At 48.2% G+C, this 24,877-nt stretch overlaps 1 protein-coding gene across 6 annotated transcripts, besides 3 other annotated features; it reads right to left on the reverse strand.

Moving 5' to 3' along the window:
* Positions 1,040 to 22,525, reverse strand: OASL (2'-5'-oligoadenylate synthetase like). Of its 6 annotated transcripts, none has more exons than NM_001395419.1 (6): positions 22,053 to 22,525; positions 16,740 to 17,022; positions 14,721 to 14,896; positions 10,855 to 11,096; positions 7,269 to 7,416; positions 1,040 to 2,309 (listed from the first exon to the last, which is right to left on the reverse strand). In NM_001395419.1, exons 1-6 carry the CDS (start codon positions 22,248 to 22,250, stop codon positions 2,256 to 2,258), a joined length of 1,101 nt encoding a protein of 366 aa, NP_001382348.1. In that variant the 5' UTR covers positions 22,251 to 22,525; the 3' UTR covers positions 1,040 to 2,255. The 6 variants fall into 6 exon arrangements, with proteins under 6 accessions (NP_001382348.1, NP_001382347.1, NP_003724.1 ...); NM_003733.4 differs by lacking the exon at positions 1,040 to 2,309 and adding an exon at positions 2,390 to 4,337; NM_001395418.1 differs by lacking the exon at positions 10,855 to 11,096.
* Positions 21,689 to 22,190: an enhancer, noted in NCBI's record as "H3K4me1 hESC enhancer chr12:121476213-121476714 (GRCh37/hg19 assembly coordinates)". NCBI's record gives its function as "activates a minimal SCP1, AML or CMV promoter by ChIP-STARR-seq in primed H9 embryonic stem cells {active_cell/tissue: H9 hESC(primed)}" and the evidence as "EXISTENCE:reporter gene assay evidence [ECO:0000049][PMID:30033119]".
* Positions 22,191 to 22,690: an enhancer, noted in NCBI's record as "H3K4me1 hESC enhancer chr12:121476715-121477214 (GRCh37/hg19 assembly coordinates)". NCBI's record gives its function as "activates a minimal SCP1, AML or CMV promoter by ChIP-STARR-seq in primed H9 embryonic stem cells {active_cell/tissue: H9 hESC(primed)}" and the evidence as "EXISTENCE:reporter gene assay evidence [ECO:0000049][PMID:30033119]".
* Positions 22,270 to 22,689: an enhancer, noted in NCBI's record as "active region_7153". NCBI's record gives its function as "activates an Ori minimal core promoter by ATAC-STARR-seq in GM12878 lymphoblastoid cells {active_cell/tissue: GM12878}" and the evidence as "EXISTENCE:reporter gene assay evidence [ECO:0000049][PMID:35858748]".

The raw sequence follows: 24,877 nt of genomic DNA on the forward strand, positions 1-24,877 counted from the left end.
GAGGGGATGGGAATCTCCTAAGGAGTTAATGACAGACCCAGGATTAGTTCCCAGGTTTTGATTCCATGTCATTTATTCTAGTAATTTCCCAGTCCAGCTGGGCCTAAGAAACACCTTAGAGAGCTGGTTAAACTGCAGACTTTTGGGTCTCACAGAAAATACTAACAGAATCAGAATCTCTGATAGGTGGAATCCAGGAATCTGTATTTCCTTTAATAGCCTAGGGCCTTACTACTTAAGAGTGTAGTCCATGAGCCAGCAGCATTGGTAACACCTGGGAGCTCGTTAGAAATGCAGAATCCAGGCTGGGCACGGTGGCTCACGCCTGTAATCCCAACACTTTGGGGGGCTGAGGCAGGCAGATCACAAGGTCAGGAGTTCGAGACCAGCCTGGCCAACATAGTGAAACCCCATCTCTACTAAAAATACAAAAATTAGCTGGGCATGGTGGCACGCACCTGTAGTCCCAGCTACTCAGGAGGCTGAGGCAGGAAAATCACTTGAACCTGGGAGGTGGAGGTTGAGGTGAGCCAAGATCGTGCCACTGCACTCCAGCCTGGGCAACAGACTGAGACTCTGTCTCGAAAAAAAAAAAAGAGAAATGCAGAATCCTGTCCGGGCACGGTGGCTCACATCTGTAATCCCAACACTTTGTGAGGCCGAGGCGGGCAGATCATGAGGTCAGGAGTTCGAGACTAGCCTGACCAACATGGTGAAACCCCATCTCTACTAAAAATACAAAAATTAGCCAGGCAATACTGACTCCCAGGACCCATCCAAGACCAAAAAATTAGAATCTCTGTGGTTAAAATACCTCACAGTGAAGGATGAACAAAATCACTTTACTTTTGTGTGTGGAATGCTGTTTCATGTTTTATCTTTGAAGACAGGTATGTCAAAACTTTACTAAAATAAACTCTCTGGCCTTGAGCTTTTTCTATTTCAAAGAAGAGGAAGGTGACTGATATGGTCTGAATGTGTTCCTCCAAAATTCATATGTTAAAATTGACACCATAAAATAAATAACAGAGAGACTGACTCTCCAAAATAAAGCGTTTATTCCAGAATTGCAAGGAATTGCAATTTGAGATATGCATGCTATAGTGGACTATAGGCACATTAAAAGAGGTTGTGGCAACGAGAAAAGACAAAGTCCACATAAGCTTCTTTAAAACAAGTACCGTTGATCACAGGAGCCTGTTGCAGGAGTTGGCTTTAGCTTATTGTGGAGACACCCACTGTTAGGCAAATATTCTTATGCAAGTGGTTTATCTATAATACTGCGGATTTTAGGAACTTCTTGAGATAATTTTTGTGACAGGCATTTGTTAGGGTTTGACATAAGTGACTCCATTTTGATACTGATAATTTCCAAAAAGTCCTTACTCCCAAGGTGATGGTATTAGGAGGTGGGACCTCTGGGAAGTAATTAGTGAAAGGGTCTTGTGTTGGTTCGAACCCCAAGAGCGTGGCCAACAGACAACATGAGGCAGTGTGTGTGCAGGTGGGCTGAGGCTTAAAATGGCGTCAGCACCAAATGAGGACGGGGCAGGGGTTTTGTAGTCTCCTGTAAACAGGAAGTTTCTCAGTCTGTTGTAACCGCTACATTGTACCCGGATGACGTCTCTCTCGGTCTTCAGGGGGTAGGTGTCTTCTGGCCCGCTCTCTTCCCGCTTCTGCTATCTTGCTGACACATGCTGCTGGCGCGAGTGGCCTTGCGCCTTGGGACCGGGCCCAAGGAGGGAGGGGAGGGAGGGGTCATTCATTCTCTTAAGCTTTCAGGCCCCACGGAGAATCTTTCAATTACATAATGGGTCCTGAGCCCTCATGAACTGGATCAATGCCTTCATAAAAGAGACCCCAGAGGCCAGGCATGGTGGCTCACAACTGTAATCCCAGCACTGTGGGAGGCCAAGACAGGTGGATCACAAGGTCAGGAGTTCGAGACTAGCCTGGCCAAGATGGTGAAACCCCGTCTCTACTAAAAATAAAAAAAAAATTAGCTGGGCACAGTGGTAGGTGCCTGTAGTCCCAGCTACTCGGGAGGCTGAGGCAGGAGAATCGCTTGAACCTCGGAGGCAGAGGTTGCAGGGAGCTGAGATCATGCCAATGCACTCTAGCCTGGGTGACAGAGCGAGACTCCATCTCAAAAAAAAAAAAAAAAAAAAAAAGAAGCGATCCTAGAGACACCTTTGCCTCTTCTACCATGTGAAGACTTAGTGAGAAGCTGCCATCTGTGAATCAGGAAGAGGTCCTCACCAGACACCAAATCTGCCAGTGTCTTGACTTGGACTTCCCAGCCTCCAGAGCTGTAAGAAATAAATGGTTATTGTTCATGAGCCATCCAGTGTATGGTATTTTGTTTTAGCAGCCCAGATGGACTAAGACATTGCATTTTTCATTCTTTTTTTTATTTTAAACAAGAATTTTCCCACCACCTACAATGTGGGCTGTGCTGGGCATTATGAAGGACACAAAGATGGGGACTGGAACAGCCTGTCTACCTCCTGGAAAGGAGGCACTTTTTCTGTCCCTGAAGGCAAACAGAGGTGGGAGATACACAGATTATGATTGCTAAATTGACCAGAGGCTGTTGATAACCAATTGCAGTGTGCATTTTCTATGCTATGGTAGGAGAGTAGCCCACCAGAAAACTAGGCAAAACAGGGGGGCAAAAGGAAACTTTTTATTGCTTGGAGTAAACCTGATCACATGACGTCCTTTGATAATAAAGATGCTATTACTTTCCTACAGTTTCCTGACTATTATGTACTGTTTGTGTATGGGTTTTAGGAGTTGAGGTGATTTTTTTTTACACTGCATCATCCTCAATCTCCCATTCTTTGTCTCTTTTTGCCTCAGTTTCCCCAGTCCTCATTTCTTAGAGTTGAGAAGCTCAAATGATCAAGCAATAACCATTAGGACAGCATTAGGCCCTGTGGAAATAAACAGCCCCCAAATGAGAACTAACAAAGGCGATTTATTCCCAACTTGCTATAGCAAAGGAACCAGCCACCCATCTCTCGCTTTTGACAGAGATTTAAAGACAGGCAGGAAAATGGGAAGGCTTCAGGGATGCCGTGATTGAGGCTGTTGGTATGGGGAAGCTGGAAGTGCACTCACCAGAAGTGGGGCTAACCATGTGATTGGTCTGGGGAGCTTATTTGGGTTTCTTGGGTTGGTCATAAATAGGAAGCAGGATGGGAGTAGGGTGGGGAGTTAGAGATGCTGCCAGTTATCGCCCAAGTCCTGATGGTTTGGGGTTGATTGCTGCAGAAGGCTGTGGGTCCGAATTCTGTTGCTGTGCGTCATGTGACCACACTATTTATTTGTATATTTAGTCCTCACACCCCTCCTCATCCTCCCCCTGGCAGGGCTGGGATAATCCTTTTTTTAAACGGATTTACTTATTTTTATGTTTTAGTTTTTAGACACAGGGTCTTGCTCTGTGGCCTGGGCAGGAGTGTAGCGGTGTGATCACAGCTCACTGCAGCTTCAGCCTCCTGGGCTCAAGTGATTCTTCTGCCTCAGCTTCTTGAGTGCCTGAGACTACAAATGTGCACAACCACACCCAGTGAATTATTTTTTTATTTTGTAGAGACGGGGTCTCCCTGTGATACCCAGGCTGGTCTTGAACTCCTCGGCTCAAGCGCTCCTCCCACCTCGGCCTCCCAAAGTTCTGGGATTACAGGTGTGAGCTACCACGTCTGGCCTGGGATAACTCATTGTAAAACTGGTGAAGACCTGGGACCTTCCCAGTAGACAATGGGACAGAGTGATTGACAGGATGAGTTCTGGAGTACATGGCAGAAATGTACAGAGAAGTCTCCCAGAGAAAACTAACTGGCTGGAAACAGAGCCTCTCCTTTCTTCTTCGAGAGGATGAGAGTGTCACTGTCTTGGATGCCATAGATCCCCAGACCCAACCAGTCCTGCAGGACTTGGCCTTGGAATTCCAGCTGCTGCTGCTTTTTAGGAAGCCCCTGCTGGTCTTCAATCTGCTGCTTCAGACCCAGGATGAAGCTGTTGGGGTTGATGGCATAGGCGTAGCTCCCACCATCAGGATTCTTCACGAAGACCTGGATCTCGGAGGGGATGGTCTCCAGCAGATAGATGTGAGTGTGGGAGAAGATCCCATATTTGGCTAAGGAGCACCTGCTGCTGAGAAGCTGCCTCTCACTGCCAGGAACCTGGAAGGACAGACGCTGCAGGCCAGAGTAGCCCCTGGTCCTCCGGATTTTCTCTTTAACCTTCCTTATGGGCTCATAAGGGTTCACGATGAGGTTGAAATCTGGGTAACCCCTCTGCTCCACTGTCAAGTGGATGTCTCGTGCCCTCTGGAAGGGAGAGGGAGAAGGAGAGGTGTTAAGTCCACACTTCTTTGTCTGATGTGCAAATGTTCCCTTCATCTGTCCTTATCTTTACAATAGTAGCAGCAGCAGCGGCAGCAGCAAATGTTTAGGGAGTGGTAAGCACTTTCCAGGCTGTATGCTGAGCACCTTCCATACCCTTAATGCATTTTATTCTCAGAGCATCTCTATTAGTTGGTTGGTTCTACTGTTACCCCCATGTTATTGATGAGGAAACTGAGCAGGGTTAGGTAATTTACTGAACACCAATCACATAGGTAGTAAGGAGCAGGGCAGATATGTGAAGTGAGGTTGGTCAGACTCCAGAGTCTGTGTTCTCACCACCTCCAGAGGCTACACTCCAGGGCCTGAGAGCCCCAGGTGGCTGGAGAGCACCTGGAAAATGCTGGCGAGGGTCAGGCCTCTAGCTGATTCTTTCCAGAAGAAATATAAGCCTTGGCTGGGTGCAGTGGCTCACGCCTGTATTCCCAGCACTTTGGGAGGCCAAGGCGGGCAGATCACTTGAGGTCAGGAGTTTGAGACCAGCCTGGCCAACATGGCAAAACCTATCTCTACCAAAAAATGCAAAAATTAGCCGGGTGTGGTGGCGTATGCCTGTAGTCCCAGCTACTCGGAAGGCTGAAGTGGGAGAATCTCTTGAACACAGGAGGTGGAGGTTGCAGTGAGCTGAGATCGCACCACTGCACTCCAGCCTGGGCAACAAAGGGAGACTCTGTCTCAAAAGGAAAACAAAAAAAGAAAAAGAAAAAGAAATATAAGCCTGGCATTGCCAAGTTTTCTGACTAGCCAAGATAAAAAATATTTGCACAATGTTGTGTGTGTTTGTTTTGTTTTTTGAGACAGGGCCTTGCCCTGTCACCTCAGGCTGCAGTGCAGTGGTGCAATCTTAACTCACTGCGCCTTGACCTCCCAAGCTGAAGCGATCCTCCCGCCTCAGTTTCCTGAGTAGCTGGGACCACAGGTGCGTGCCACCACATCTGGCTAAGTTTTGTTCTTTTTTTTTTTTTTTTTTTTCAGATGGAATCTCACTCTGTTGCCAGGCTAGAGTGCAGTGGCACGATCTTGGCTCACTGCAACCTCCGCCTCCCAGGTTCAAGCGATTCTCCTGCCTCAGCCTCCCTAGTAGCTGGGACTACAGGCACATGCCACCACACCCAGCTAATTTTTGTATTTTTAGTAGAGATGAGGTTTTACCATGTTGGCCAGGATGGTTTCGATCTCTTGACCTCGTGATCTGCCCACCTCGGCCTCCCAAAGTGCTGGGATTACAGATGTGAGCCACCGCACCTGGCCAAGTTTTGTATTTTTAGTAGAGACGGGGTTTCACCATGTTGCCTAGGCTGGTCTTGAACTGTTGGGCTCAAGGGATCCACCCGCCTCAGCCCCTCAAAGTGCTGTGATTACAGGCGTGCGCCACTGCCCCCAGCCTACAATGGCTTTTATATTCAGGAAAAATCCAGAGGCGTATATTTTCCAGCCCATGGGTGGGCCTCCTCATTTGGCCAGCGGGTCCCCCCGTTTATACTCTATGTACCTTACTGGAGCCTCTGATTCTGCTTCTGCCTTCTGCTCCAAGCAGTTCAGTCTCCTGTCCTGTACACATCTTGCTCATCCCAGCCTCCCATCCTTTACCCCTCATCATCCTTTGTCCTCTGTTCTGAGTGTCTATATCTCCCCCCGGCCTTTAGGGCTCATTTCAACTCCTAACTTTTTAAAGGAATCTTCTCTGGTGACTTCAGTTAACATTTATTCTGCTTCCAGACCCCCAGAGCCCCTGGTTCTGCTGCCTCTTAGCAGAGTGCCCTTAGTTAATTAACCTCTCTGAGCCTCAGTTTTCTCTTCTGTAAAATGGCAATAATAGTAATGATGATAATAATAATAAAGATAGTGATAACACTCGACCTTCTTACTTTACAGAATTGCTTATGAGGATCAACTGAGACAGACCTTGGACAAGAGCTTTGCACACTAGAAAGTGTGATGTTAATAAAATAGATTTTTGTGATCTCTGCCTATACTATAGGTTTGGCATCATATAATAATATGACTTAGTATTTTTTGTTTGTTTGTTTGTTTTCAGAGTATCTTGTCTTCTCTGGTAATTCTAGCAGTTTTGTGTAAGTTTGTTTCATGGATTTGCTTCCTGACAACATAGGGTGAGTTCTCTGAGAGTGAGGGTGGTGTCTTTTTTTTTTCTTTTTTTCTTTTTTTTTTGAGGCAGAGTTTCCCTCTTGCTGTCCAGGCTGGAGTGCAATGGCACGATCTCAGCTCACTGCAGCCCCCAGCTCCCGGGTTCAAGCGATTCACCTGCCTCTGCCTCCGGAGTAGCAGGGATTATAGGCACCTGCCACCACGCCCGCCTAATTTTGTATTTTTTTAGTAGAGATGGGTTTTTTCCATGTTGGCCGGGCTGGTCTTGAACTCCTGACCTCAAGTGATCCACCTGTCTTGGCCTCCCAAAGTGCTGGGATTACAGGCGTGAACCACCGCACCTGGCCGAGCGTCGTGGTCATGTCTTATTTCTGTGCCTGTGTTGTCCCCCAGCCCACATCCCCTACCCCATCCCTGAGAACAGCACTGGCACAGAATGGCTGATTGAGCTGACTTGGCTGGACCCAACTCACGCAAAGAATGATCAGGAACACAGAACTGATTCTCCAGTAAATTATGGGAAAAAGAAAGGAAAGGAGAACAAGAATTTGAAGGTAAGAAACCCAAGGCTCTGAGAGCCAAAGAATTTGTCCAAGTTCACGGAGCCCATGGGTGGTGCAGCTGGCCCTTAAACGGTGACTCTAAAGTTCTGTTCTCCATCAACACAGAACTGAATGAGTAAATACTGAGTAGTTTATCTGTCGTTCTGACCTTCAAGCCCTTGACAGCCCAGAGAGGAGCCATTACCTTCACGTTCCAGCTGGAGATGGGGTTCTCCCTGTTGTCATAGCAACAGTCCTGTTTCAGGCACTGGGAGGCCCTCTGAGCAACGATGTCCCATCTGTACCCTTCTGCCACGTTGAGGGTGGGGTCGGCCGGATCCAGGATGATGGGCCTGTAACACAGGAAAAGGGTGCCCAGGCTCATAATGGTTTGAAGGCCTTCAAGCCAGAAAAAAACCTTCTCGGCAATTATTTCGTCCAGCCACTGAGAATTGTGATATCCACATCCCGGGGATGTTCAAGAGGGCCCCAAAACACCGCAGGAGAGTAACAGGATGGAGACAATGCTATTTCCAAGAATTCCTATCTGGGCCAGGCACAGTGGCTCACGCCTGTAATCCCAGCACTTTGGGAGGCTGAGGCGGGAGGATCACTTGAGGTCAGGAGTTCAAGACCAGCCTGGCCAACGTGGTGAAACCCTGTCTCTACTAAAAATACAAAAAATTAGCCAGGTGTGGTGGTACGCACCTGTCATCCCAGTTACTCAGAAGGCTGAGGCAGGAGCATTGCTTGAACCCAGGAGGTGGAGGTTGCAGTGAGCCAAGATCATGCCACCACCCTCCAGCCTGGGTGACCGAGTGAGACTGTCTCAAAAAAAAAAAAATTCTTCTTCTTTGGGATAGTGCCTTAAGTGTTTGCAAGGAATTTAGGGGGAGAATGAGGCCCCAAGAGGCATGCTGGAGTAATAACAGATGCCCTTTCAGGCAGGGGGGGCCCTGTACCTTCGGAGCAGGTTTTGCAAGTTTAAGTTTAAGGTTAGAGCTGCTGAATTACTTTGGATAGTAGAAACACCACTGCCACCAACTACTGACATTTATTGAAGCACAAGGCCAAATCCTATGCAGATTAACCTATTTTAATCTTACAGCAATTCTATAAGGTAGGGACTGTTATTTTTATTGTTTATTGTTGTGGTTGTCCCCTTTTTACAGACCTCCCTAAGTTCCTTTTTTTTTTTTTTTTTTTTTTTTTGAGACAGAGTCTCGCTCTGTCGCCCAGGCTGAAGGGCAGTGGTGCAATCTCGGCTCACTGCAACTTCCACCTCCCGGGTTCAGCCAATTCTCTGCCTCGGCCTCCTGAGTAGCTGGGATTACAGGTACCCGCCACCACGCCCAGCTAATTTTTGTATTTTTAGTAGAGATGGGGTTTCACCATCTTGGCCAGGCTGGTCTTGAACTCCTGACCTCGTGATCCACCTGCCTTGGCCTCCCAAAGTGCTGGGATTACAGGCATGAGCCACCGGTGCCCGGCCTAGATTGCCCTAAGTTCTTACAGCCAGTAGATGGGGGCTCTTACCCATCTACCTCCTCAACAGAGCAGAGGTTGGGCTGCCCCCAAAAGTCTCTCCTTTCTATAAATATTGAATAAATATTTTAAAGAATATTGGCTTGAAGGGGATCTTGGGCTTGCTTATTAACTTGGGGTGACTGCAAGTCCATGATTAACACCAGCTCTTTGAGTGGGGCGCAGTGGCTCACGCCTATAATCCCAGCATTTTGTGGGGCCGAGGTGGGCAGATCACTTGAGGTCAGGAGTTCAAGACCAGGCTGGCCAACATGGTGAAACCGTGTCTCTACTAAAAATACAAAAATTAGGGCATGGCGGCAGGCGCCTGTAGTCCCAGTTACTTGGGTGGCTGAGGTGGGAGGATAGCTTGAACCCAGGAGGTGGTGGTTGCAGTGAGCCAAGATCGTGCCACTGAACTCCAGCCTAGGTGACAGAGCAAGACTCCATTAAAAAAAAAAAAACAAAACCCAAAAACAAACAAAAAAAACCCAGCCCTTTGTACTCCAGGGCTTGGGAGGGAGCTGCGACTTCATCTGTGTAATCGAATGTGACACAGGCTACTGGAATGAACTGGACTTTGGGCTCCAGGCTGGCTCCTCCCAACCCTGACTGCTCCCTAAAACAGTCCTGCCTGAAAGTGCCAGGCTGTCCTATGGGGTGGGGTCACTGATCTAAAGTGGCTCATTCTGTTGGCTGGCAGGTGACCCAACACATGGGGTCTGTGTCCCGTGACCAGGAATCAGACTGGTTCTCTCTGGGGTTTGGACATGGGGATGATGGAGATCCCTTATACCTGGGAGGCAGAGGGGAGCCGGACAGGTGTGGAGAGAGAAGCAGAGGCTGAGGGGAAAAGTGCTGTAGTTCATGAGAGAGAGTGACAGAGAGAGAGAGGGAGTCTCAGGTCCTGATGCTTTCTCGATTTTTCTGGCCATGGTTATAATAAATCCTCTTTTCATGAGCAGACCTGGCTTTTCTTCCTTACAAAAGAGACCCAATACTACATAACAGAACACTAAATACTGTGATGTTGCTTACACAGGCCCAGAGCTTCTAACACAGAGAGTTGTCTGGGTTGGGCTTCCCCTGAAGCAGATCCCCAGATAAGGATTTGGCTTATTTGGAAAGTGATCCCAGGAAGCACAAATAAGGGAGTGAGACAGTGAGACAGATAAGGGAAGGCAGACAACAAAGAGTGGGTATTGAAGTAATTACTACTGTGGTCCACTGGAGGCGATCTTTAGGAAAGAGTATGGAATGGGGCCCAGTGCGGTGGCTCACGCCTGTAAGCCCAGTACTTTGGGAGGCCAAGGCAGGCGCATCACCTGAGGTCAGGAGTTTGAGACCAGCCTGGCCAACATGGCAAAGCACTGTCTCTACAAAAATACAAAAATCAGCTGGGTGTGGGTTGTAGGCGCCTGTAATCTCAGCTACTCAGAAGCCTGAGGGAGGGGAATCACTCGAACCCAGGAGGCAGAGGTTGCAATGAGTGGAGATTGCGCCACTGCACTCCACCCTGGGTGACAGAGCAAAACTCTGTCTTAAAAAAAAAAAAAAAAAGTTACGCAATGAGACCCAGATTCCTTCCATCTTTTGGGTGAGGGAGCTGTGGTATTTATCCACCAACTCCCACCAGATCTGGTGGAGGGCTCTTCTCAGAGTGGGTCTGCTGGCAAAGGGATGCAGGTGCTGACAGCTGGAAGTGGAACCAACCTTCCCTAGAACGGTAAAGGCCGAGAGGATATGAATGGGACGCTGACAGCACATGCTCCAATATAAGCATTTACTCAGCATCTGCCAGATGCTAGATATTGTGGATCCTTAACACAGATTTTCTCCAACCCTTACATCAATCCTATGTCGTAGGTTCCAGTTTACTCCTGTCTTATGGATAAGGGATTGAGGCTCATAGCAGTAGGAAAATGGCTGAGCTGGGATTTAAACTTGAGTCTCCAAGATTCTTTCCATTTTCCCATGCTAGCTCCTACAAAGCACTGAAATGGTCTTCAGAGAGCAAGAAGGCCAAGCTAAGGTGGAGGGTGGCTTAGGAAACAAGGAACAGGCTTCTACCCGCCCCATGGCCCCCCAGTGACTTTGATAAGCCACCAACTTGAGATGCCAGCTGTGTTGGTGTGGGAGGTCGATGCTCAACTATGGTGGCAGCCTTACTGCTTAATACAGCCAATCCATAAAACTCTATGCCACGTTACACTAGCCCGTCTCTCTTTTTTTCTGTAAGATTTGGTGGGCAAACAGTGGTCCAGTACCTCTCTTTTTTGAGCTGTTTTCTGACACAATCCTCAATGATTGCATTGTGGAGTGTGTAGTACTTGGTCCAGTAGATACAGATGACTTCATACTCCAGGAGCAGGTCCATCACAGTGGTGAAGCCTTCGTCCAACATGAAATTCTCGTCTTCTTCAGTACCCATTTCCCAGGCATAGATGGTTAGAAGTTCAAGAGCATAGAGAGGGGGCAGATTGGCTCTGGGGGACCTGGCTTTCACATACTGTTGAAAGAGATGGGAAGACAGAGAGAGAGAGACCCTAAGATTCTGTGTAAGGATGGCGTTGGACCAGAAGCTGAGAAATCCAAGTTCTAGTCCTGGCTCTGCTGCCTACTGGCTGTGTGACCTTGGCCATGTCACATTCCATCTCTAGACATAGGTTTCACCATTTTAGAATTAAAGGGCTGAGTTAGTCCATTGGGCTTCAATATATGCTCAACAGATGTAACTCCTGGAATGAACTTATGAACAGGTATGAGCAGATTGCGCTCGGTCACAAACATTCTAGCCTAAGCAGTCCCATTTAAATCTATTTTAATGTATTGAGCTGCTGAGAAATGTTTCTTAAAAGAAAGGAAAGGTTTCCTTAGATAGAGGGAAAAAATGGTAATAGGTGAGATTCTGTAGTGAAGATTGGGGTTGCCTCTCTAGCAGACATTCTTTCCTTCCCCATTGCATAGTAGCCATGATGTTTGGAAGGGGTTGACCCCCACCCGCAGCTCCAGGATGGGCCCTGACTGGCACAGTCCTATCAGCATAAACCTTTCCCCCTTGCAAGTGATTGCTTCAAGAGAAGGCATGCGATCTAAGTTGGCTCAACTAGAGTAAAGCCTAGTTCTTTTGTTCAGTGGTTGAAAGAAGAGAAGTCCTCCCATGTGTGAATATGAGGGCAGGAATAGTTGTGGCCATTTTGCCACCAAGAGGGAAACAAGCCAAAGGACCAAGCTGACATATAGAGGAATGAGAAGCTGAGAGAATTCCAGAGAAACAGAGCCAGTGCCCTCACCAGTGCCTGAAACCCGCCCCCCCCGCCCGCCCCCCCTACTGTTTAGGGGTTTTCCTACATAAGCTGATAATTCCCTTTATTGTTTAAGCCAGTTTGAGTTGGTTTTTGTGTTTTTCTCTTACTTGCAAAAGGAAGCATCTTAACTGACAGTGGTCACTTCCTGTGTTAAGAATCTCACTGAGGCCGGGCGCAGTGCCTCCCGCCCGTAATCCCAGCACCTTGGGAGGCCGAGGCGGGTGGATCACTTGAGGCCAGGAGTTCGAGACCAGCTTGGCCAACATGGTGAAACCCCGTCTCTACTAAAAATACAAAAATTAGCCAGGTGTGGTGGCAGGTGCCTGTAATCCCAGCTACTTGGGAGGCTGAGGCGGGAGAATCGCTTGAACCCAGGAGGAGGAGGTTGCAGTGAACCAAGATCATGCCACTGCACTCCAGCCTGGGCAAGAGTGAGAACTTGTCTCAGAAAAAAAAAAAAAAAAAAAAAAAGAATTTCACTGATACATTGATATTTAGCCAGAAAGTGAAAAATTTTGGTCAAATATTCAGTAGTTTGATTTGTGGAAGTAAAACTGACATATTTTCCTATGGCCATCATATATGAATATTAGCTCCCATCCCAAAGTCAGAGGAGAAAAAAAAAAGCTATAACACTTTGGCCTTGAAACAAACACAGAATCATCTTGTATAATTCTCATCTCCCAAATAAATGAAACCTTGGGCCTTTCCTATAGGTCACTGACTTACTAACAAAAAAACTTTATCCTTGACCTTAGAAATTCAATTTTGAATTAAAATGTATTTATAAGGCTGGGCTCAGTGGCTCACGCCTGTAATCCCAGCACTTTGGGAGGCCAAGGCAGGTGGATCACAAGGTCAGGAGATCGAGACCATCCTGGCTAACACGGTGAAACCCCGTCTCTACTAAAAATATAAAAAATTAGCTGTGCATGGTGGCGGGCACCTGTAGTCCCAGCTACTCGGGAGGTTGAGGCAGGAGAATGGCATGAACCCGGGAGGCGGAGCTTGCAGTGAGCTGAGATTGCGCCACTGCATTCCAGCCTGGGCGACAGAGCAAGACTCTGTCTCAAAAAAAAAAAAATTATAAGTTAATTAATTTGTTTTGTAACTTTTTGCAAATTCATCCTTAACACTCAATTTTGTAAACCATAACTAATAACATTATAATTTTGTTAGAAATTTAAACTCATGGTAATATAACTTATTTTCTTCAATATTAGTGAAATGTTACATTCTTAAAACTTAGATGATATATAAAATGTAGGATGCCTGTAATCTGTAAGATGTAAGCCTTAGTGAATAGATAAAAAAAATACCCAGCTCAACTTACTTCACCTCCGGGGCTCAAGTGATCCTTCCTCCTCAGCCTCCTGAGCAGCTGAGACTACAGGAACCCATCACCACCCCCAGCTAATTTTTGTATTTTTGTATTTTTTGTAGAGACGGGGTTTCACTATGTTGCTCAGGCTGGTCTTGAACCCTTGGGCTCAAGTGATCCTCCTACCTCAGCCTCCTAAAGTGCTGAAATTACAGGCGTGAGCTACCACATTTGGCCGGTAATTGTTTTTTCTTTAAATCCCTGTTATATTTTATTTTATTTTTTGAGACAGAGTCTTGCTCTCTTGCCCAGGCTGGAGTACAGTGGCGCGATCTCGGCTCACTGCAAGCTCCGCCTCCTGGGTTCACACCATTCTCCTGCCTCAGCCTCCCGAGTAGCTGGGACTACAGGCGCCCGCCACCACGCCTGGCTATTTTTTTGTATTTTTAGTAGAGATGGGGTTTCACTGTGTTAGCCAGGATGGTCTCGATCTCCTGATCTCATGATCTGCCCACCTCGGCCTCCCAAAATGCTGGGATTACAGGCGTGAGCCATCATGCCCAGCCTATTTTATTTTTATTGGATCAAATCTTTCCTTCTGCTGTCTGATTCCCTTGTAACTTCTCTGCAAGTTCTATATAATAAATGATTTTTGTCTCTGAGTTCTGTTTTGCAGTTGGAGTTTCCGTTATCTCGGAGGAAGATTTTGTTTCCAAAACTGACTGAGCTGCTGCCTGAGAAATGTCCCTGAGGGCTGTTTACACTCACACATGCCCTCTTTTCGACTCCTGGGGTGGAATTAAAGAAATCCTTCCCCTTGTTAGTCCTTAACCTGCTGTGACGAATGGCCACAGTACCCGGCGAAGCTGACATCTGCCAGGCCTAGACTGTAATTGAAGGGTAACAAGAACATGTGGGGTGGGTGTGGTGGCTCGTGCCTGTAATCCCAGCACTTTGGGAGGCCAAGGTGGGAGGATCGCTTGAGACCACTTCGAAACCAGGCTGGTCAACATAGTGAGACCCTGTCTCTACAAAAGAAAAATAAAAAAAATTAGCTGGGCATGGTTGTGCATGCCTGTAGTCCCAGTTACTTAGGAGGCTAAGGTGGGAGGATCACTTGAGCCAGGGAGGTCTTGATCCAGGGAGGTGGAGGCTACAGTGAGTGGTGATTGCACCACCGCACTACAGCCTGGGCAACAAAGCAAGATCCTGTCTCAAAAAAAAATAATAAAATAAAATAAAAATAACTAGTTTACTGAAATACTGTAGAGCACCTATTTTTCTCCTTCCTTCTCTGTTTCTTTCTCCTCTTCCTCCTCCTCTCCTCCTTTTCCACCTTCTTCACTGACGGTTTCACTTTACATTTCAAAAGACTAGCATTCTCTCCCTCTCTACCTGCTTCCATTTCCCCTGGCTGCAGCTTCCTGAGATGAAAATCAGGCCCTGCCTTTCCTCCTCACCCTCTTCCCTCTCCTTGCCCCTGCCATCCTGGCAGCCCCCTCACCTGCTGGTACCAGTGTTTCACCAGGCGCAGGAGGCTCTTCAGCTTAGTTGGCCGATGTTTCACGAAATTTCTCTGCAGCTCGCTGAAGGATGGGCAGAAATTTCCAGGACCACCGCAGGCCTTGATCAGGCTCACATAGACCTCAGGGGGTGGCTGGGAGTTGGGAAGAGAAGGCCCTGAGGAGTGAAGGAGCAAAGGAAGAGATTGGGGATTGAGGAAGCCAGAGGGTGGTAAGTAGTATTTTGGGGAGAGCCTGCCTTTACATTGGAAGTATCCCTCCAGGGACACTTGAGACCTCATATCTTCAGAAACCAAAGGTTTGCCTTGTCTAATTGTCCTTTTTGTGAAATTCTTACTCTGGAGAACCAACATTGGGCTTTCCATGCATCAGACCCCTCCCTGGATGTCCTCAATGTCCCTCATTTTCTTTAATATCTGTTTTGTATCTCTTTCAATACTCATAGGGAGGCCGGGTGTGGTGGCTTAAGCCTGTAATCCCAGCACTTTGGGAGGCCGAGGTGGGCGGATCACCTGAGGTTAGGAGTTTGAAATCAGCCTGGCCAACATGGTGAAATCCTATCTCTACTAAAAATAGAAAAATTAGCCAGGCATGGCATGGTGGCGGGCTGTAATCCCAGCTACTCGGGAGGCTGAGGCTGGAGAATCACTTGAACCCTGGAGGTGGAGGTTGCAGTGAGCCGAGATCACGGCACTGCACTCCAGCCTGGGCGACAGAGCGAGACTCCGTCTCAAAAAATATATATATATATAAACTCATAGGGAGAACCAGGAACCAGTTCCATGGTACACATCACTGAGACATCCCAGCACTCTCTTCCTTGCTAAAATCAGATCCTGTCTCTTATACCTTCTCCAAAGAGCAACTCCACGCAGCCAGCCACTACAGCTGATAGGAGTTAGCACATGAGATGAAACCTCTAGGATCTGGGCTTGCAGCATGTAGGTTTTACTTCAAACACCTAGGACTCTGCCCGAGGACAAACAACAGGGGCCAGTGAGTTAGTGCTCCCAAAGCAGCCCCCAACCAGTGACGGCTGGGAAGCTGGTGAGTAAGCACGCCAGCGTCCCACTTGGGATCCCGAAGAGGTTCGCTCCATAATGGGACTGTGAGTTCTCCCAGGACATGAAGCTCAGGGTGGTGACTTGCCCATGGACGCACGTTGTATTGAATTCTTGCCTTTCCCATCTCAGTTCCATACTTCCCTACCGGTGTTTCCTGGGAGGAATACCCAAATAAACTGCGTATCCTCACATCCATGTCTTAGGATCTGCTTCTATAAAATGCAGTGACAGACCCCCACTCCCACTTTTAGCTCCTTCCCCTCACTGGGTGTCAGAGCCTCCTGAATGTTGTTTCCCCAGAAAGTCACTTCCTGAGCACCCTTTCTGTGGTTACCCAGGCCACCCCATTCTTTTTCTCTGAGCATTTACACCATTTGCAATCATGTTTTTTTGTTTGTTTTTTTGTTTTTTGTTTTTTTGAGACGGAGTCTTGCTCTGTTGCCCAGGCTGGAGTGCAATGGCGCGATCTTGACTCACTGCAACCTCCGCCTCCTGGGTTCAAGTGATTCTCTGCCTCACCCTCCTGAGTAGCTGGGATTACAGGCGCCCACCACCACACCCAGCTAATTTTTTGTATTTTTAGTAGAGATGGTATTTCACCATCTTGGCCAGGCTGGTCTTCAACTCCTGACCTCATGATCCACCTGCCTTGGCCTCCCAAAGTGCTGGGATTACAGGCGTGAGCCACCGCGCCCAGGCTGCAATCATGTATTTATCTCTGCAATTCTTTGGTCAATTTCTGTATTCCAAGTTGAGCAATATGATAGCCAGAGTTGAGTTAATCCTGTGCACTGCAATAACCCAGCCCCAAGCATAGGACACAGATGAAATGAATAAATGTGGGTGTGTGCACGTGGCCATGAGTAAAGGTGAGACACTGGGAAGTCTCCTGGGGTGGGCAAGTGTGTGAGTCGGGTGAGCTTCCCCTCCCCTTACCCAGGGCTCTGTAGGCAGGCACAATGGTGACCGTGATGGGCTCCGCAGTCCCCCTGGTCTGGATGGTGAAGACGAGAGCATCGGGGACTCTCTGCTCCATCCTCAGGTCCTCGAGCCCGAGGTCCAGCAGGTCCTGGCTTTGCCACATGGTTTTCCATATCAGCCTCAGAACATCTTTGTGATGCTTGGCTGCCTCCTGGAAGCTGTGGAAACAGCTCAGAAACGCCACCAGCTCCACCTCTCTGGTGCTCCTGAGAACCGTGCCATTCCCGAAGGAGCCCACCTGCAGAACACAGAGCCCCGTCACCCTGAGGCCCACTGCCATGAGCCAGGCAACCCCTGCGGCACTTCACATGCACTGTCTCACTGAATGCTCACCACCCGCTGAGGGATGGGTTGTGGGTAGTACTAATACCCACACTTTACAGGTGAGAAAACTGAGATGTCTGGAGGATCTCGAGACATGGGATGGAGAAATGGGGCAGCCTGAAAAAGATCTTGACACTTCCCTGTTTCTTAGCTAGGTAAATGTTCTGACTCCTAAGACCTTCATCTCTAAAATGAAAGCAATGGCAGAATATGAGTCACTGGGCTACTGGGAGGATCAGATGAAATAATGTATGCCAAGGGTTTGGTGGGGTGCCTGGCACACAGGAAGTCAGCAACACATTTGTCTTTCTCCTCATTAGTCATTTGTCTCAGGTCTCGCAGTTTGCAGCCCTCAGAGCCCAGACTCTTTTTTTTTTTTTACACAGGGTTTCACTCCCGTTGCCCAGGCTGGGCTGCAGTGGCATGATCTTGGCTCAAGCAATCCTCCCACCTCAGTCTCCCAAGTAGCTAGGACTACAGGCCTGCGCCACCATGCCTGGCTAATTTTTGTATTTTTTGTAGTGACTGGGTTTTGGCATGTCGCCCAGGCTGGTCTCGAACTCCTGGACTCAAGCGATTTGCCCCCTTGGCCTCCCCAAATGCCCAGCTTCTTATCTACTACACTGCATTGCTTCTGAGACCCAGTCTTCTTACCCACAGAGTAAGGCCTACTCCAGAGGAATGGTAGCATCTACTCCATAGGGTTGTTTGAGGATTCTGGGGGTGGTGGTGGGGCTGAATAATTTCATGACATTATAAAGCAAGGAGCAAGTTTGCCTGGTGGATTTAAGAGCCATAGGCTGTGAAATGGAGCAGCCTGAAAAAGATCTTGACTCTTCCCTGTTTCTTAGCTGGGTAAACATTCTGACTCCTGAGACCCTCATCTGTAAAATGAAAGTAATGTTGGAACAAGAGTCACTGGGCTACTGGGAGGATCAGATGAAATAATGTATGCCAAGCGTTTGGTGGGGTGCCTGGCACACAGGAAGTCAGCAATACATTTCTCTTTCTTCTCATTATCCAGCTGACTTAGACAATCTCTTCTGCTGCCGGGGGGTCAGTTTTCCTGTTAGTAATGGAAGGAGGTCGAGAAGGGATTTTTCGATGTTTTGAGATTCTAGATGAGCTCTCCAGGCCCTGGTGCCTCTGGTATGCAAAGCGCCACAACTCTCTGGCCTCCTCTCCTTCTCATTCTGTGTTGGGAGGTGGAATTGCTAGGGAGGCATCAGACCCCCAGAAGGCTACTTTTCTTGGTGGTTGGAGTCACTGCACAAGAATCAGATTCCAGCTGTTGCCGGATGATATAACATGCCCTGTGTGACATGAGCACGGATGCTGGATGACATGAGCACGCCCTGTGTCTGGCACCCATAAGAGCCCTGTATACATATTATTCCTTTTAATCTTTACTTCCCAGCCAGGCATGATGGCTCATGCCTGTAATCTCAGCACTTTGGGAGGCCAAGGTGGGCGGATCATGAGGTCAGGAGTTCGAGATCAGCCTGGCCAACATGGTGAAAGCACATCTCTACTAAAAATACAAAAATTAGCCAGGTGTGGTTGTGTGCACCTGTAATCCGAGCTACTGGGGAAGCTAAGGCAGGAGAATCGCTTGAACCCAGGAGGCAGAGGTTGTGGTGAGCTGAGATCTCGCCACTACACTCCAGCCTGGGCGACACAGCGAGACTCCATCTAAACAAAACAAAACAACAAAAAAAAACGCCTTCACTTCCTGTATTGAGGTGGGTACTAGGAGAATTATCTCCAATGTACAGATGAGAAGACTGAGGCAGTGAGGAGCTTGCCATGGTCTCCCAGCCAGAAGGCAGCAGAGTCAGAGAAAGAGCCAGAACTCAAGTAGGGGATGGTTCTTCCGCCTCTTTCTTCCTCGTGACCCAAGGCTGTGAGCCAGGCCCTGCTTCCAAGGGACCATGGGCATTCAGACCCAGCACCTCCACCCCCTGGGAGAGGGTTGGAGATGGCACCCTGTGTGTGAATGAAGGACACATTCCCCCCGAAGGCCAGTCTAGACTTCCCTTTCTTTTTGAGACAGGGTCTTGCTCTGTTGCCCAGGCTGGAGTGCAATGGCACGATCTTCACTCACTGAAGCCTCGACCTCCTGGGCTTAAGCAATCCTCCCACCTCAGCCTCCGGAGTAGCTGGAACTACAGGCATGCACCGCCATGCCCAGCTAATTTTTTATATATATTTTTGTAGAGTCGGGGGTCTCACCATTTTGCCCAGGCTGGTCTCGAATTCCTGGGCTCAAGCAATCCTCCCACCTTGGCCTCCCAAAGTGCTGGGATTACAGGCGTGAGCCACTGTGCCTGGCGTAGACTTCCCTTTCTGCCTTTCCCACTGGTAAGATCCAGGCAGAGAGAAAAGAACACATCCAGAACAGGCTTCCTGATTTGCTTCAGTTTTAAACCTATTTAAGCACAATTCATTTGAAGACGAGCATTCCCTTATGTGGACCAGCTCCGCTCACTAGATTTTCAGAGGGTGGGGAACGGGAGGGTTTAGACTCTAAATAAGATATATTATTCCTCATTAGTCATGGCTCACTGGGGATTGCTACCATTTAGTGGTTTCAAGAGGAAAAGTGGCTATGATGTGCAGGAAGTATTTGAGGCTTAGGTAAATAGCATTTCCTGCCGTAAAAACTCATTCTTGGCCGGGCGTGGTGGTTCACACCTGTAATCCCAGCATTTGGGGAGGCCGAGGTGGGTGGATCACTTGAGGTCAGGAGTTCGAGACCAGCCTGGCCAACATGATGGAACCCCGTCTCTACTAAAAATGCAAAGATTAGCCAGGCGTGGTGGAACACACACACACACAATAAACTTATTCTTGTAGCATCCTCCTCTTACCAGACATTCCTTATTCCCTCCACTTTATTCTCAAGTTTGTTGGGGAGGGGGTGGTCTAGGAGGGTCTGCCAGAGTCAGACTTGAGTCCCAGGCCCAGAAGAAAGCTTGGCAAGAATTATAATGATGCTTCTGTTTCTGAGCATTTATCGTGCATGAATCATTCAGCCTGCATTGCACCACTGGCTTGGTGAGGGAGAGATGATGATGATGCCCCAATCACAGATGAAAAGAATGTGGGTTTGAGAAAGAAGAGTGGGAAGGTCAAAACCACACAGCTGGTAAAGGAAGAAGCGAAGAGTCTGTCTAATATCAAAATTTGTGGTTTCTCACTTATAAATTGTATGGCCTCAGGCTTCATATGCTGGGGATAGGTGCAAAGAACGGATAGGGGCCCAGGGCTTCTAGATCCCTCTGTGAGTTGGTTGCCCCTAGAGAGAGAACTTGAGCACTGGGCTGGGAGTCAGGGGTCCTAATTCTAGTCTTGCCTTTGCCACCAACTCGCTGTGTGACCTTGGGGTATCTCTCACCCTCTCTGTGCCTCGGTTTACTTAATTTTTTAAGTGAGTCATTGGTGAGACTGTCTGATTCTCCAAAGTCTTTCTAGCTCCGACCCTCTTGAATTTTGATCTTAGCTAGCACAGGCGGTGGCATGAAACAGCTGGAGGAAGGGCTTGGGGGAAAATCTCAGTGAGGGGGGCTTGGGTCCCTTGAGTCAAGTTCAAATCCCAGCTTCAACACTGTGTGACCTTGGGCAAGTCACCTCACCTCTCTGAGCCTCCATTAAAAAATCATTTTAGGCCGAGTGCAGTGGCTCACTGTAATCCCAGCACTTTGGGAGGCCGAGGAGGGCAGATCATGAGGTCAGGAGATCGAGACCATCCTAGCCAACACGGTGAAACCCTGTCTCTACTAAAATACAAAAAATTAGCCGGGCGTGGTGGTGGGCGCTGTCGTCCCAGCTACTTGGGAGGCTGAGGCAGGGGAATTGCTTGAACCTGGGAGGCAGAGGTTGCAGTGAGCTGAGATCGTGCCACTGCACTCCAGCCTGGTGACAGAGCAAGACTCTGTCTCAAAAAAAAAAAAACAAAAACAAAAATCATTTTATTGGCCGGCCAGACATGGTGGCTCACACCTGTAATCCCAGCACTTTGGGAGGCCAAGGTGGGCATATTCTTGATCCCAGGAGTTCGAGACCAGCATGGGCAACATTGGTGAAACCCTATCTCTACAAAAAATACAAAAATTAGCTGAGCATGGTGGTGCATGCCTGTAATCCCAAGCTATTTAGGAGGCTGAGGATCACCTGAGCTCAGGGAGATTGAGGCTACAGTGAGTGGTGATTGTGCCACTGCACTCCAGCCTGGGTGACAGAGCGAGACCCTGTCTCTAAAAAAAAAAAAAGTCATTTTATTATCAAAAAGTTAAAACACATAGAAAAATAGATGATACAACTAACACTCATATACCCAACTAGTTGATTCAACAAGTCTAAATTCCTGGCTACATGTGCTTAATCTAAGCCACGTTAAAGTAAATTATAGGCACCAAGGAACTTTGTCCCTAAAATACTTCAGTGTTCGTGTCCAAACAAAAGACAACCTTCTGATAACCACAAAACTACTGTTACACCTAACAAAATCAACAATGATTTCCCATATCAGATATATGTACTATCTGATATCTAGGCCAGTTGTCCCCAAACTATATTTTACAGATGGTTCATTCACACTAGGATCCAACCAAGGACCTCGCATTGTATTGGTTCTGAGCCTCCATTTGCTAATCTGTAAACTGGGCAAAGAATAGTACCTATCTCACAGAGTGCAAGAATTAGAGATAGTGTATGTTAAGAGGTTAGTCCAGTGAGCCCCCAAATGTGAGCTATTATTACTAGACTCATTCTACTCAAGGCAGTGGTGCAGTGGGGTGTAGACAGCTAGGTGGGATGGGGTATTCTGAGATGTCATCAGCATGGGCTAGGGATAAGGAGGACAGGGGTCCCCAGCATCCCCAGGGACGTGGACTCTGATACTGGGTTTTGTCTTGCGTGGGGGCTGGAGGAGCCCAGTCTTACCTTGACTACCTTCAGCACCCGCACATCCTGGTCCAGCCCACGCTTCCCCTGGAAATGCTCCTGCCTCAGAAACTCCTCCACGGTCCGCACAGCGTCTAGCACCTCTTCCTTCCACTCCCGGTGGGGCTGCAGCCACTGAGCCACGAAGGAGTCCAGCCTGGAGGCTGGTGTGCTATACAGTTCCTGCATCAGTGCCATCTCTGTCCCGAGAGTACCGCTGCTGGGCAGATATATAGCCAGGCTCCTACCCAGCTCCCTGGCACACACCTCCTTTTTTAAGGTAGCTCCTCCTCAGCTGCCCTCCAGTGCTCTGTGGGAGGAGGGACCCTAGCAGAGAGGAAACCAGGTGTGACGGGCTGACTCCAGGTCCCCCTTCTTGGAGACACCCTTGCTGCAGTAGGGGCACAGGAGGACTCTGGGCTGAGGCTGGAATATCTGGGGCCACCTTAACAGGCTGGCCGTCTAGTCAATCTGTCATCAGTTTCGATTCTCAACTTTTAGAGTTCTCCTTTATGACGTTGGGAAACTGAAGTTGGATAGTGTTTGACCCCAAAGGAGGCAACTTGCCCAGTAGGTTGGGGTTGGATAGTTGTTAGTCAATTCAACTGCTTACATCTGTCTAAGGAAATTGAGGCTTGGGAACGGAAGGGACTCACTAGTGTTCAGGTGGTGGAGTGAGAATCTGGAGCCCAAGAGAACAGACTGGGAATTCTAGTCTACCTGTGCCAGACTCTAACCTCTTTGACCCTCACTATTCATAGAGTGGGTTTTTTTGTTTTTTTGTTTTTTTTTTTTTTTGGCCGGGTCTTGCTCTGTTGCCCAGGCTGGAGTGCAGTGGTGCAATCTCAGCTCACTACAACCTCTGCCTCACGGGTTCAAGCGATTCTCCTGCCTCAGCCTCCCTAGTAGCTGGGACTACAGACATGTGCCACCACGCCCGGCTAATTTTTTTTTTGTATTTTTAGTAGAGACGGGGGTCTCACCATTTTGGTCAGGCTGGTCTCAAACTCCTGACCTCAAATGATCCGCCCACCTCGGCCTCCCACAGTGCTAGGATTACAGCGTGAGCCACCGCGCCCGGCCCATAGAGTGGGTTTAACAGGTATTATGATTCACGCACTGAACCAAGAAGTTCATGCATTGAGCCAAGAAGACAAAATAAGATGAGGTTCCTGTTCCAAGGGGACTCCCAGAACGGTGGAGGAGACACAGAAAAAAGAGACTGCAAAAGTCCAGTGCGATGAGTTAAGTAGGAAAAAAGCATGAAAACATGAAGCCGGCAGATGAGTTTCATTTGGTGTTAGCAGACACCTGCTTGAGAGGAATCTTAAAGACTGGGGATCCGGGCTGGGCATGGTGGCTCATGCTTGTAGTCCCAGCACTTTGGGAGGCCAAGGTGAGAGGATCACTTGAGGCCAGGAGTTCAAGACCAGCCTGGGCAACATAGCTGGACACCTGCAACTTCCCAAACTCTGAATAATATTAAGTGCTCCAGGGCTTAGTCCTGGGTCCTTTTCTCTTCTTGTTCTAGACTTACTCCCTTGGTGATTTCAGCCAGCGTTTAAATGTTTTTACTCTGGCAACTTCCACATTTTAATTTTATTTTTATTTATTTGTTTATTTTTGAGATGGAGTCTCACTGTCTCGCCCAGGCTGGAGTTCAGTGACACAATCTCGGCTCACTGCAACCTCTGCCTCCCAGGTTCAGGCGATTCTTGTGCCTCAGCCTCCCAAGGAGCTGGGATTACAGGAGCCCGCCACCGCGCCTGGCTAACTTTTTGTATTTTTAGTAGGGACAGTGTTTCACCATGTTGCCCAGGCTGGTCTTGAACTCCTGATCTGCCCTCCTCGGCCTCCCAAAGTGCTGGGATTACAGGCGTGAGCCACCATACCCAGTGACTCCCACATTTGTATCTTAAATCCATACCTCTTCCCTGAAATCCAGACTCATGTATCCAACTCCCCACTCCACATTGGCTTTGAATTCCGGTCTGCCCTTTGCCACACTTGTAACTTCTCTGCTTCTGTGGTGAGGATGATTGCAAGGGCAAGAACAGATGTAGGGAGATGGTCAGGACACTGCACAGTGGTGCAGGTGAGAGGCAGTGGTGGCCTGGAGTTTAAAACTCCAGTTTTTGTTTTAAAAACAAAAAGTTTTTTAAAAAATAGCTAGGTGTGGTGGTGTCCACCTGTAGCCCCAGCTACTTGGGAGGCTGAGGTGGGAGGACCACTTGAGTCTAGGAGTTTCAGGCTGCAGTGAACTATCATGGTGCCACTGCACTCCAGCCTGGGTGACAGCATGAGACTCTGTCTCCAAATAAAAAATAAAAAAGACTGGCACTCCAGCCAGGAGGATGAGGGTACAGCATAGAGGCTGAGAAGTATAAATAATGCTAGGATATGCCAGGGACTCAAGTGTGCTGTGTGCCTTGGGATGAAAGGGTGAGCAGGGGAGAGGTTAGAAATGTACCTGGACAGGTGGGCAGGATTGAATCTTGGAGTGCTATTCACTCATTCGTTCACTCATTCAACAGATACTTACTGGGCACCTACTCTGTGCCAGGCAGGTGCTGTGGATACAACAGTGAACAAACAGTAGTGAAAAATCCCTACCTGCAGATAGTTTTCTTTCTGGTAGTGGAGACAAACAACAAATAGGATAAATAGGTAAAATTATAGTAAAGAAGACGGTGATAAGTGCTAAGCAGAAAAACAAAGCAAGAGAAGGGATTAAGAGGTTGTGTGTGTGTGTGTGTGTGTGTGTGTGTGTGTGTGTGTGTGTGTTGGGGGCATGTATTTAGGTTTCAGTCTTACATAAGGTGATT

The sequence above is a fragment of the Homo sapiens genome, chromosome 12 (assembly GCF_000001405.40).
Source record: "Homo sapiens chromosome 12, GRCh38.p14 Primary Assembly".
NCBI classification, from domain to species: domain Eukaryota; kingdom Metazoa; phylum Chordata; class Mammalia; order Primates; family Hominidae; genus Homo; species Homo sapiens.